The sequence below is a fragment of the Homo sapiens genome, chromosome 20, assembly GCF_000001405.40.
Source record: "Homo sapiens chromosome 20, GRCh38.p14 Primary Assembly".
Lineage (NCBI taxonomy): Eukaryota > Metazoa > Chordata > Mammalia > Primates > Hominidae > Homo > Homo sapiens.
The window spans coordinates 37,013,317-37,027,664 of NC_000020.11; the positions used below are offsets into that span (position 1 = coordinate 37,013,317).

General features: G+C 42.2%; 1 protein-coding gene and 1 pseudogene across 7 annotated transcripts in view; both read right to left on the reverse strand.

Annotated features, from left to right (window-relative positions):
• The window catches only part of RBL1 (RB transcriptional corepressor like 1), a 99,649-nt gene that overhangs the window by 16,968 nt on the left and 68,333 nt on the right, over window positions 1–14,348 (reverse strand). For 6 of the 7 annotated variants that reach the window (NM_001323281.2, XM_047440348.1, NM_002895.5 and 3 more), the window contains 3 exons: window positions 9,334–9,510; window positions 7,343–7,414; window positions 4,963–5,053 (listed from right to left, as the gene is read on the reverse strand). In NM_001323281.2, coding sequence (NP_001310210.1) covers window positions 4,963–5,053; window positions 7,343–7,414; window positions 9,334–9,510 — 340 coding nt within the window. Of the gene's footprint in view, window positions 1–4,962; window positions 5,054–7,342; window positions 7,415–9,329; window positions 9,511–14,348 lie in introns of those variants that run through there. The other variant, XM_047440350.1, reaches the window with a different exon arrangement.
• RPS3AP3 (RPS3A pseudogene 3) lies at window positions 8,427–8,693 on the reverse strand (annotated as a pseudogene).

Here is a 14,348-nt window from a genome sequence, read left to right on the forward strand (position 1 = left end):
GCTGTGTCCACTCAGGGTTAAATGGATTAAGGGCGGTGCAAGATGTGCTTTGTTAAACAGATGCTTGAAGGCAGCATGCTCGTTAAAAGTCATCACCACTCCCTAATCTCAAGTACCCCGGGACACAAACACTGCGGAAGGCCGCAGGGTCCTCTGCCTAGGAAAACCAGAGACCTTTGTTCACTTGTTTATCTGCTGACCTTCCCTCCACTATTGTCCTATGACCCTGCCAAATCTCCCTCTGCGAGAAACACCCAAGAATGATCAATAAAAAAAAAAAAAAAAAAAATTTGAGACACTACCCTCAATAGCCATGAAAGGGATGAAAGATCCAGTGAAGTCTCTCAGCTTTACTCTTAGGGATAATAATGTTAAGGCTAAAAGCTCTGAGAAGTCCTGTGTCCAGCCCTGAATTCTGATCCACGGTATTTGCTTGATGGTAGCCTTAAGGTTGACTGAATCCTGCATCTGAAATCTTGGCACCTGTTCTTGAGCAAATCTTTTCTATGGGTGCTGGTCAGACATAGAACTGGGATATATGAACTTACTGCATAGGATATATAAATTGTGTGTGTGCTTTTTAAACAGTAATTATTTTACAACTCATAATGAATTTGTTTATAGAACCAGAACTGTTTTTCCCAAGTTGGTGTTCTTTGGTGTGTCCAAATCTGGGTCATAGCATCTAACCATAGCTCTAAGAACTGGAAGGTGACTTATCTGAATATAGACTTGTCTGACTGTATATCCTCCTACATAACTTTCTCTCTTTTTTTTTTTTTTTTTTGAGACAGGGTCTTGCTCTGTCTGGAGTACAGCGGCAAGATCATGGCTCACTGCAGCCTTGACATCCTGGGCTCAAGCCAACCTCCCAATTCAGCCTCCTGAGTAGCTTGGACTACAGAAGCCCACCACCATGTGTGGCTATTTTAAAAAATTTTTTGTAGCAATAGGCTGTCACTATGTTACCCACAATGGTCTTGAACTCCTGGGTTCAAGCCACCCTCCTGGCTTGGCCTCCCAAAGTGCTGGGATTGTAGATGTAAGCCACTGTGTTCTCTCTTTTTGAGTGCCAGAATTCCTGAGTTCATTATCACTGGATATTCTCCCTGCCCTGTGCCACCACCACTGTACAGGATCTGTAACAATGGTTGTTTGCTTACTTGCTAATAAATATATCTAGTTAATAACCGTATGTAAGGCAGTGTGCGGTGACTCACGCCTGTAATCCCAGCACTTTGGGAGGCCAAGGCAGATGGATCACTTGAACCCAGGAGTTCAAGACTGGCCTTGGCAACATGGTGAAACCCCATCTCTACAAAAAATATAAAAATTAGCCAGGACGTGGCTGAGTCGAGAATCACTCGGGCCTGGGAGGTCAAGGCTGCAGTGAGCTGTGACTGTGCCACTGTACTCCAGCCTGGGTGACAGAGCAAGACATGGTCTCAAAACAAACAAACAAAAGGTCAGGTGCAGTGGCTGACGCCTGTAATCCCAGCACTTTGGGAGGCCAAGGCGGGTGGAATACCTGAGATCAGGAGTTCAAGACCAGCCTGGCCAACATAGCAAAACCCCATCTCTACTAAAAATACAAAAATTAGCTGGGCCTGGTGGCAGGTGCCTGTAATCCCAGCTACTCGGGAGGCTGAGGCAGGAGAATCACTTGAACCTGGGAGGCGGAGGTTGCAGTGAGCCGAGATCGCACCATTGCACTCCAGCCTGGGCAACAAGAGTGAGACTGTATCTCAAAAAAAAAAAAAAAAAAAAGAAAGAAAGAAAGAAATTGTGTAGCAGAATTTGATCTGAAACCTATATATACAGGAAGTGGCAAACTCTCAGTCACCCAAGTTTCTTTGGCAGATACTTATCAAAAAGAAAACAAAACAGAAAACGACATCGTCTATTATCTTTTGCTTACTTCTACTCTCTGGAACTTCACTGCTCTTGTAGCTCAGATACTTGCTAGCAGTTAGTTTCTCATAGAAAAAACACAAAACAGGCAAGTGATCCACAGCTTTCTAGCTAACCTCTGATGTCTGGTTTTGTAGGAACAGAAAAACCACCCTGGATAGGTAAGCAACATGTATAACAAATATAGAAAATGGCTTTTTTTGTTGTTGTTTTTTTTTTTTGAGATGGAGTCTCACTCTGTCGCCCAGGGTAGAGTGCAGTGGCGCGATCTCCGCTCACTGCAAGCTCCACCTCCTGGGCTCATGCCCTTCTCCTACCTCAGCCTCTGGAGCAGCTGGGACTACAGGCGCCCGCCACCACGCCCGGAGAATTTTTTGTATTTTTAGTGGAGACGAGGTTTCACCGTGTTAGCCAGGATGGTCTGGATCTCCTGACCTCATGATCCACCTGCCTCGGCCTCCCAAAGTGCTGGGATTACAGGCGTGAGCCACCGCACCCGGGCTTGTTTGTTTTTTTGAGATAGAGTCTAGCTCTGTCGCCCAGACTGGAGTGCAGTGGCAGGATCTTGGCTCACTGCAACCTCTGCCGCCCAAGTTCAAGTGATTCTCCTGCCTCAGCCTCCTGAGTAGCTGGGATTACAGGTGTCTGCCACTGCACCTGGTAATTTTTGTAGTTTTAGTAGAGACGGGTTTCACCATCTTGGCCAGGCTGGTCTTGAACTCCTGATTTTGTGATCCACCCGCCTCGGCCTCCCAAAGTACTGGATTACAGGCGTGAGCCACCGTGCCCAGCGGTTTTTTTTTTTTTTTTTTTTTCTTGAGATGGAGTCTCACGCTGTCACCCAGGCTGGAGTGCAGTGGTGTGATCTTGGCTCACTGCAACCTCTGCCTCCTGGGTTCAAGCAATTCTTGTGCCTCAGCCTCCTAAGTAGCTGGGATTACAGGTGCTCACCACCATGCCCAGCTAATTTTTGTATTTTTAGTAGAGACAAGGTTTCGCCATGTTGGCCAGGCTGGTCTCGAACTCCTGACCTCAGATGATCCACCCACCTTGGCCTCCCAAAGTGCTGGGATTACAGGTGTGAGCCACCACACCCGGCTAGGGTTACTGTCTTATATACTCCTCGTTGCCTTGAAAAGGCTCCAGAATAATACACTTATGTAAAAAGAATTGAGTTTGGCCTATTATCCTCAAACGGAGTCAGATTCTAGGACATTATTAAAAGATCTTTTTGGTGAATGAAATCTTAAAAGTTTATATCCCAGTGGACACCATAATGATTATGGATATTTTTATAATTTAAAAATTTGCTTTAATTCATCAGATTTTCTCTTAAGAATTTATCCTAAGGATGTGGCCTAAAGATTAAGCTACAAATGATGCTCATCACAGAGCTGTGCATAATTAGAAGCAACCTGGCCAGGCATGGTGGCTTACACCTGTCATCCCAGCACTTTGGGAGGCCATGGTAGGGAGACTGCTTGAGCCCAGGAGTTGGAGACCAGCCTGGGCAACATGGCAAAATCCCACCTCTACAAAAAATTAGTTGGGTGTGGCACAAGACTGAGATGAAAGGAGCACCGGAGGTCAGGGCTGCAGTGAGCCATGATTGTGCCACTGCATGCCTGCCTGGGTAACAGAGTAAGATCCTGTCTCAGAAAAGAAAAGAAAAGAAAAAATAAAAGAGAAAGGAGGGCAGGGGAGGGGGAGAGGAGGGGGATGGGGATGGGAAGAAGAGAGGAAAGGAGAGGAGAGGAGAGGGGAGAGGAGAGAAGACGAGACGAGACGAGACAAGACGAGACAAGAAAAGGAGAAATGACCTAAATGTCTCACACTGTGGCATTAAAGAAATCACAGTACCTAGGCTTAGCACAGTGGCTCATGCCTGTAATCCTAGTACTTTGGGAGGCCAAGGTGGGCGGATCACTTGAGCTCACGATTTCGAGACCAGCCTGAGCAAACATGGCAAAATCCCGTCTCTACAAAAAATATAAAAATTCGCCAGGGTGATGGTGCATGCCTGCAGTTCCAGCTACTCGGGAGGCTGAGGTGGAAGGATTGATTGAGCCTGGGATGTCCATGCTGCAGTGAGTCATGATCATACCACTGCACTTCAGTGTAGGTGACAGAACAAAACCCTATCTCAAAAAAAAAAAATCATAGTATATACACATGTATATATTACATACACCTGAAATACATGGAAAGATGAGACAAGGGAAAGGAGGTAGGCAGAAGAGGTGTATGAATACTAACCATTTGATTTTTCTTTCTTTGAAAAAAAAAGATTACTAGTGCCTGAAGTCTTAGCATGATGGTGGCAAGAGGGTGCAGTCTTGCCTGTGGTAGCAGAATTACCTATAAGTAATACTTATATGAACAGGACATTTTCTTGTGTGTGTGTGTGTGTGTGTGTGTGTGTGTGACAGAGTCTCACTTTGCCGCCAGGCTGGAGTGCAGTGGCGTGATCTCAGCTCACTGCAACCTCCGCCTCCTGGTTTCAAGCGATTCTCCTGCCTCAGGCTCCTGAGTAGCTGGGACTACAGGCGTATACCACCACACCTAGCTAATTTTTGTATTTTTTTTTTAAGTAGAGATGGGGTTTCACCATGTTGGCCAGGATGGCCTTGATCTCTTGAACTCGTGATCCACCCGCCTTGGCCTCCCAAAGTGCTGGAATTACAGGTGTGAGCCACCATGCCCAGCCGGGACATTTTCTTAACAGACTCCTCGGGAAGATTACTGTCAGCTACCTTGTTTTCCCTGTCATTCAGATTTTAGAATTTTATTAAGTCTCTTTTACGTGTTTCATTAACATGTATAAGTAGACTAGAAAACTTCTTCCAAAACACAATTAACAGGGGACAAATTAATGGTTTCAATAAACTATACCAGCACATTCTAATCTCAAACTTATTTGTTTTCAAAACATATGCATTGTCCACCTCACCTCCTTATGATTCACATTTCCATGTTGTCTGACACCCACTGTATTATGTACAGTGTGATCCAATGTGTTTTACATATAATATGTTAAATTGGATAACTTACCACAATCTATCATTTCAAAGTCATCATTTATATTTTTATTATATGCCACAACTTCTCTTGGAATACTTTTCAGCAGAACACTTCTATATACCTACATGCCAGAGGGGAAGAAAAGGACAGCTCAGTCACAGAGGTACAGGTTAAACAAAATCAAAGTGAGAAGAGCAAAATATCAAACCAATTAAAAACTATTTGTCTGTATAAGTGATACTCAAGGGTAAAATGTTATTAGCTCTAGTAAGTATAGATTATAACACATACCATAAAAGAGGGGATACTGGAGAAGAGCCTACCATCTAAGATGGGCTTAGTTTATAAAACAGAAGAAATAGCAACTAAAGACTGATGATCAGGTTTTACTAAATGAAAGCAACTTTAAAGACCTGAATTTGGTCAGGTGCAGTGGCTCACACCTGTAATCCCAGCACTTTGGGAGGCTGAGGTGGGTGGATCACTTGAGGCCAGGCGTTCAAGACCAGCTGGCCAACATGGTGAAAGCCCATCTCTACTAAAAATACAAAAATTATCTGGGTGTGGTAGCGCACAGTTGTAATTCCAGCTACTAGGGAGGCTGAGGCAGAACTGCTTGAACTCAGTGGGTGGAGGTTGCATTGAGCTGAGATCGCACCACTGCACTCCAGCCTGGACAACAGAGCAAGACTCTGCTCAAATACAAAACAAAATAAAACAAACAAACAAAAAACAAAAGACCTGAATTAATTCCTCCTTCTTCTTAATTCCTTACACAACAATCAATTGGTCTTTTTTTTCTTTTTTTTTTTAGAGACAGGGTCTCACTCTATGGCTCAGACTGGAGTGCAGTGGCACAATCATGGCTCACTGTAGCCTTGACCTCCTGGGCTCAGGCAATCTGTCTGCCTTGGCCTCCTTAACTGGTGGGATTACAGGCGTGAGCCACTGCGCCTGGACCAGAGTCATTTGTTCTTAATGCAGCTTGTTTTTCTGCCCCCAGCCCATTCCCATCTCCTTTCAGATGGCCACATGAAAATCTTTTCCCTTCCCTGCCCCTAAACTATTTCTCACCTCTGAGATAGCTGGAAAGGCATGATCCATTCCCCCTTGTACTGTATTATAGGTTACTGGTATTAAGAAGATATTCAGGGAACCATGGCTTGGCCCATTCTTGACTCACACTAACCTCACCTTAATGATCTTCAAGGACAATCTAGAGCTTTCTAGGCTCTGTTCCTGAGGGATTTTCCTGAAGAAGCCCAGAAACTCTTAGCTTATCACAGGATATAACAAATACCTGTACTTGGTTCTTCAAATGTCTCTATATTGCTTGCTATAATGTATTTTAGGGCTTAAACAAAGCTCTCTTAGAAGGGGATATAACTACTAATACTGAGGCCACATCTCTATTTTGGTCTGCAGTCTAGGCCACTACCTCTCTCTTTCTGTCTACAATTTCCAGGGCCAGAGAAGAGGCCATTATGCTTCCTAAGAGCAGAGCAACTAGGTTCTTGAATGATCAAACCCTTAAGGTAATTTACTTGTGTTCTTCAGGTACAATAATAACAACAATATGACATGAACATTCATTAAATGCTTATTGTGTGCCAGTCCACTCTGCTACCATGACTGAAAGGTTTCATGGAATTTTCACCACGGTCAGAACAATATAATCAGAAATGTTTAACATCTATTCAAAGATGCAAACATTAGGATGCTTAGCAGATGGCAAAAGAAGCTGTAGTTAGGTTAATGAATCCTCAAATTTCACTGGGTTTAAATATCATTAAAAAATAAAGTCATATAATTAAAGAATATTATTATTATTATACATAACTTTTTTTTTTTTTTTTTTGAGACAGAGTCTCGCTCTGTCGGCCAGGCTGGAGTGCAGTGGAATGCTCTTGGCTCACCGCAACCTCTGCCTCCTGGGCTCAATCAATTCTCCTGCCTCAGCCTCCCGAGTAGCAGGGATTATAGGCGTGTGACACCACGCCTGGCTAATTTTTGTATTTTTAGTAGAGACAGGGTTTTACCATATTGGCCAGGCTGGTCTCGAACTCCTGACCTCAGGTAATCCACCTGCCTCCACCTCCCAAAGTGCTGGGATTACAGGCGTGAGACACCGCACCCAGCCATTATACATATCTTTCATTAAATGAACAAATGGAATGGCAGAACTTATGAGAAGTATATGAAAGTATATGGATGAGTCGGAAACAGTCAGACTTCCTGGCTTCTATTGAAACTGTCCTTCAATGAAATTATCTCTTGAGTTTAATGTTATCCATTAAAACAGAAAATCTGAAGTATATTAAAACTATAAAATAAGTTTACCTTTTATATAACTTGTCAGTGGAAAAGAGTAAATCTATTTTTGGACAGTAGGAAAAATAATGTAACTCACGTGACTATTAGCTTGGGGCTGATTCCTATAACTTTTCATAATTTCTTGAAAAGTTCTTTCTTCTTTTGTTACCTAAGGAAAATAAAAACCGCATTTATCAACTGCTTTTTGAAAGAAAAATGGCTCTGAACAAAACTTCAATTATAAGTTGGCACTGAGAGCAACCTTGCAGAAAACCATTAACCCCAGGCCAGTCCATGACTAAAAACCACTAACATTTATGATTTTTTCTACCTTTAAAGTTCAGGCTTTGTGGCCTGTGGGGACTCACTTAATAGTTTCATTAATCAAAAAGCAGTGAAACTGCTATGGTGTGACTCTACTGAAAATCCATTTCTTTATATAAAAAAAGATATAAGAAAACTCAGATCTGTTTAATTCCCTGCAGTCTCCAGTTTTATTAATTTTTAAGTACTTACTTAAAAGTAAATTAACCACATACGAAGGATTAAAAATATCTTACAGTGATGATTCTCAATCAAACTGAGTGGCTATTACAGGATTAGGTTTTAACATTTCAGGACAGACTGTAGGGTTTCTAATGCTTAGACAGAAGTCACAGTGGTGGCCAAAAGGAAGAAAATGGATTAGTGATCCAAAAAGGAATTCCTTCTGGGATCTCTGTGATCATAAACTTCACTTAAGTCACTCTTTTCCCCTGCTTCACTGTCCATTAGTGCTAAACCTGTTCTCTATAATGATGAGCTAGAAATGGCAAAGCCTGAACTCTAACAGTCTTCTGGAAAACACACGATTAGTTAGTAACATTTATCTTTTAATTTTTTAATTCTTTTTTTTTTTTTTGAGATAGAGTCTCAGTCTGTCATCCAGGCTGGAGTGCAGTGGCATGATCTTGGCTCACTGCAACCTCTGCCTCCCGGTTTCAAGTGATTCTCCTGCCTCAGCCTCCCGAGTAGCTAGGACTACAGGCGCGTGCCACCATGCCCAGCTAATTTTTGTATTTTTAGTAGAGACAGCGTTTCACTGTGTTAGCCAGGATGGTCTTGATCTCCTGACCTCGTGATCTGCCTGCCTTGGCCTCCCAAAGTGCTGGGATTACAGGCATGAGCCTGCGCCCGGCCCTTCAGGTTGAGTTTTCTAACTGCAACTTCATCATTCTGCAAATCAGCAAGATACACTTCAAACACATGACTCTTGAAGCTATCAGATGCAATTTGGTTCCTTGAGTCCTGGTAACTAGTGTCTTTCCAGTATTTCTTGTATTGAACATAGTCGGTGCTTTTTTACATCAAACCAATCTTTCTTAAAAAATGAATCAACCATTTTCTTCTTTGCTCCCTTTTTGTTGCCTTTTGTATGGTGCATTTTCTCGTCAACCACCATAGTGCTGCAGTAACAATTATTAAGACCTATTTTTTACAGAGATTTCAAAGAGGCATTGTGGGAGGAGGGGTCACAAAGGAGTTTAAAAACATATGCTCTGTCTCAAAAAGCTGAAAAATCAAGTCTTAACTGTATACATCTGCTAGGACTGCCAGTGTGGCCAGTACAGTCAAGACAAATGATTGTATCAGATATATGAGAATTTTAAAAAACAAGCAAGATATGTTATTCCATGACTTAAAACACGTTGTAGCAACTAGAAAGTAAAATGCTCTTCTGAGGCAGCACAATAAATCACGAGAAAGCAATATGCGATATGGTACAGAAACTTTTATTTTTCTTGAGACAGGGTCTTGCTCTATTGCCCAGGCTGAGGTACAGTGTCATGATCTCGGCTCACTGCAGCCTTGGCCTCCTGGGCTCAAGAGATCCTCCCACCTCAGTCTCCCAAGTAGCTGGGCCTATAGGTGCAAGCCACAATGCCCAGCTGATTTTTATATTTTTTATAGAGATGAGGTTTCACCATGTTGCCCAAGCTGGTCTCGAAATCCTGGGCTCAAGCTATCTGCTCACCTTGACCTCCGAAAGTGCTAGGATTATACGTGTGAGCCACCATGCCCAGCCTCTTCTCCCAATTTATACATTACCTTTGCCATGATATAAAAGGCACAAAGGAGGAGCTGATCCAAATGCCTGTCTTTCATTAGATCAGGACAGTGAACTAAAGTGAATTCAAAACACGTCCATATCTTCCTTCGTAACTCATTTGAAACATCCAGTTTTAGACATAGATCACGTAAGCGTACACTTGCCAAATGATAGACCTAAAATAGAAGGTAACACATTGATGCAAAACACCAAGTAAATCATTTCTCAAATTTTTATGTCTTACCAAGACCAAGATTAAAAAACATAGGCTGTTGATATACTAAATTAAATAAAATTTCTGTTCTATAGCACTAGTTCACTGCTATGGCAGGAGGATATAGATTAAAGCAAAACTACTTGAAAAAATTTTTTAAAGATGTCATCTATTACTCTATGCTGCCAACTATGTAAAGTAAGAAAAAATGAAATATAGGATTTACCTGCATCATGACAATTATGAACATATAATTTTTCCTTTTTTTTTTTTCTTAGGTGGATTCTCGCTCTGTCACCCAGGCTGGAGTGCAGTGGCACAATCTTGGCTCACTGCAACCTCTGCCTTCTGCATTCAAGCAATTCTCCTGCCTCAGCCTCCCGAGTAACTGGGCTTACAGGTGCATGCCACCACGCCTAGCTAAATTTTTGTATTTTTAGTAGAGACAGGGCTTCATCATGTTGGCCAGGCTGGTCTTTAACTCTTGACCTCAAGTAATCCATGCACTGCAGCCTCCCAAAGTACTGGGATTACAGGTGTGAGCCACTGTGCCCGGCTCGAATGCATAATTTTTCAAAGCTCAGAAGTCTCTGTCTATTCTCTTTGGGTTCAGGTAAAATTGCTAGGGGGTCTAACATGCCAAATAATAAATGAAATATTTGACTCCAAAAATGAGTCAGAAAGCAAAACCATTTAAAAAATTGCTCCTATATTCTACACTTTTTAGGAGCACAATGGGAACGAAACAGGAATGTTAAAATAAGTAAGATACAAAGTTGTTGTTTTTTTTAAAGCCTGTGAAAATAAATTCAGTTCAATTCCCTGGCCCTAGATCCTGCAAGATTGTTTTTTTATTTTAAGACTTGATAACCGTGATGTGGTATTCCTAAACCAGACTATTCTATTCAAACTATTTTTTTTTTTTTTTTTTTGAGACGGAGTCTCACTCTGTAGCCTAAGTTGGAGTGCAGTGGCATGATCTTGGCTCACTGCAACCTCCACCTCCGGGCTCAAGTGATGCTTGTGTCTCAGCCTCCCGAGTAGCTGGGACTACAGGCAAGTGCCACCACGCCTGGCTAATTTTTTTTTTTTTGTATTTGAGTAGAGATGGGGTTTCACCATGTTGCCTAGGGTGGTCTCGAACTCCTGAGCTCAGGTGATCTGCTGGCCTCGGCCTCCCAAAGTGCTGGGATTACAGGCATGAGTCACTGCGCCTGGCCCAAACTATGTCTTTAAATTTCCAGATGGAAAAAAAAAGTTACCCCTTACAGAAAATTATCTTTGGCAGAAAAATACCTACAAACCGAGCTTAAAAACTAATTTAAGCTACTCAGTGATCTAATATAAAGAGAGACAAACAGTTGACTCCAAAGCCACCAGTGATTTATTTTACAGCAAACAAATTTTCTGCATCCTCTCCCCTTGTTTCTGGTCCAGCCATGCTCAGTAAATAGTAGGGTAAGAGCAGAGAGAAAGATGCTAGAACTTTATATTCATGAAAGGAGAAGATAAGATATATAGTCCTAGCTAGAATAATTAAAAATAATATGTAGTTAAGTAATACTTGGTAAAGTATCTTTTACAGAGCTGATCCAATGCTTACAGGATACACATACGCTGGAAGGCTTTTGATTCTAACATTCACAGTAAATTCTATTTAGGCATAGAACACCAGCATCACACTGAGTTCAGCATAGATAATCGTTATAATTTACTCAATGAATGGTTATTTTGAATTTATTATAGATTCAGACATTTCAGTTCCTTTTATATTTTCTAGCTTCTAATCTATGAGCAGGTTATAATTAAATGAAAGGAAAAGGATGTTAGATTCTAAAACAACATTCAAAATAAAGAATTCACCAAAAAGTCTTATTTCTGTCAAACTTAGGTTAATTATCAGAGGCAATAATTTGCCATTTTGAAAATTAAAAATGGTAAGTAAATGGGGAAACTGCTATATTTTCAAGCTCTGTTGTTAAAACAGTCCTTAGGCATAGGAGGGGGTGAAGGGACAGAGGAGAGAAGCCAGTAAAGGTGGTGAAAAGAGCAAGACTCTCCCTCAACCATCCCAACTGCCAACCAAAGCAGCTCTGCTTTCATATATTTTGTTTATACTTCTGAAGACTATTTCATTCAAAGAAGGGATTTCCCTAAAAGATGAAATTCCTTGGAGAATCAGTTGCTCCAAAACCCACAATGTAATGAAAATAAATGAGCTATAATTGAAAGGAACAGAAGACAAAGAATGGTTGTAGAAGCTATAAATGAGTTGTTTTCCAGTGTCTGTCTCCTCTTCTGCAATAACAGAACCCTTAACATTTACACCCACCTTCCTGTAATAAAGACTATATTTGCCCCTTTGAAAATTCTGCCTGGGCACGGTGGCTCACATCTGTAATCCCAGCACATTGGGAGGGTGAGGTGGACGGACTGGTTGAGTCCAGGAGTTTGAAACCATCCTAAGCAACATAGCGAAACCCCTTCTCTACAAAAAATTAAAAAATAAGCTGGGTGTGGTAGCCTGTGCCTATAGTCCCAGCTACTCAGGAGGCTGAGGTGAGAGGATCGCTTGAGCCCGGGAGGTTGAGGCTGCAGTGAGCCATGATCTTGCCACTGCACCCCTGCACGGGTGACAGAGCAAGACCTTGTCTCCAAAAAGAAAAAAAAAAACATTCTACAAGTGGCTATATGACTAAGTGGGAAATAAACAGCATTGGTGTATGTAACTTCTAGGACAGGTTCTGAAGGTGAGGAGGCATGCTCTTTTTCTTTCTGCTGGCTAGAATGCAGATATGATATCTGGAAGGGAAGCAGTCATCATGGACTGAGTTAGAAACCTTGTGTTGAAAATGGCCAAAAAAACCTTGAAGGGACCTGGGTTTTTTTTTTTTTTGAGATGGAGTCTTGCTCTGTCACCCAGGCTGGAGTGCGGTGGCGTGATCTCGGCTCACTGCAACCTCCGCCTCCCAGGTTCACGCCATTCTCCTGCTTCAGCCTCCCGAGTAGCTAGGACTACAGGTGCCTGCTACCATGCCTGGGTAATTTTTTTGTATTTTAAGTAGAGATGGGGTTTCACCATGTTAGCCAGGATGGTCTCGAACTCCTGACCTCATGATCCGCCCGTCTTGGCCTCCCAAAGTGCTAGGATTATAGGCGTGAGCCACCGACCTGGCCAGGACCTGGGTTCTTAATGGTCGTGGTAACCACAGCAGTCCCATACTATTTACACAGACTTTATGTGAAAGATAAATTCTCTTGTTTAAGCTACTATTATTTTCAAACAGCTAAACTGAAATCTAAGAAATAAATAGATAATCACTATGCCCGAGGTCAGAAAACACATTAGAGGTACTGTGAAAGAAATAGGATTTGATATAAAAATGTAAAAAATAATCCTCATGTTTTATCTTAATGTAAAATTATCTAATTCAGAGTGTGGGCTGAGACCTTCCATGACATCAAGTGACAAAAGAATGGAGAAAAACATGATTGAGGAAGAGTATAAATTAAAGAAGATTTATTTAGCATAGAGAAAAAAGGACATATAAAAAATTATTGCCGGGCGCAGTGGCTCATGCCTGTAATCCCAGCACTTTGAGAGGCCAAGACGGGTGGATCACGAGGTCAGAAGTTCAAGATCAGCCTGGCCAAGATGATGAAATCCCATCTCTACTAAAAATACAAAAATTAGCCGGGTGTGGTGGCACACACATGTAATCCCAGCTACTCAGGAGGCTGAGGCAGGAGAATTGCTTGAACCCGGGCGGCAGAGGTTGCAGTGAGCCAAGATCGTGCCACTGCACTCCAGCCTGGGTGACAGAGCAAGACTCCATCTCAAAAAAAAAAAAAATTATTAGGCTGGGCGCAGTGGCTCACACCTGTAATACTAGTACTTTGGGAGGCTGAGGTGGTGGATCACTAGGTCAGGAGATCGAGACTGTTCTGGCCAACGTGGTGAAACCCTGTCTCTACTAAAAATAAAAAAATTAGCTGGGCATGGTGGTGCGTCCCTGTAATCCCAGCTACTCGGGAGGCTGAGGCAGAGAATTGCTTGAACTAGGGAGTCAGAGGTTGCAGTGAGCTGAGATTGCACCACTGCACTCCAGCCTGGTGACAGAGTGAGACTCCATCTTAAAAAAAAACAACAAAAAAAAACAACAAAAAAAAACCAAAAAATTATTACAAGAACAATTAGTTGGGCATGGTGGCTCACACCTGTTGTAATCCCAGCACTTTGGGAGGCTGAGGTGGGAGGATCGCTTGAGCCCAGGAGTTCAAGATGAACCTGGGAAACACAGCGAGACTCCATTTCTACCAAAAAAAAAAAAAATTTAGCTGGGTGGGGTGGTGCATGCCTGTGGTCCTACTACTCAGGAGGCAGGAGGATCTCTTGAGCTTGGGAGGTAGACTGCAGTGAGACATGATCGTGCCTATGCACTCTAGTCTGGGCGACAGAGCAAGACCCTGTCTCAAAATAATAATAAAAAAAGAATGATTAGTAGAGAAATACACTTAAATTTGCCTGTAGACCCAGGTACTCGGAGGGTAATGAAAGAGGATCACTTGAGCCTAGGAGTTTGGGCTCTAGCGTGCTATAACTGTGCCTGTGAATAGTCACTGTACTCCAACCTGGGCAATAGAATGGGCTAGCCAACCATCTAGCTGTGGGATGCACTGCAGTCATGTTTGGTTATAAATATCTGATTAACATGTCTATCTTATCAGAAGCTGATGATTCAAAATGTGCTCGTAAGAGATAGGACAAATTCAAGTTATGTCTAAGGTCAACCGTTTTTA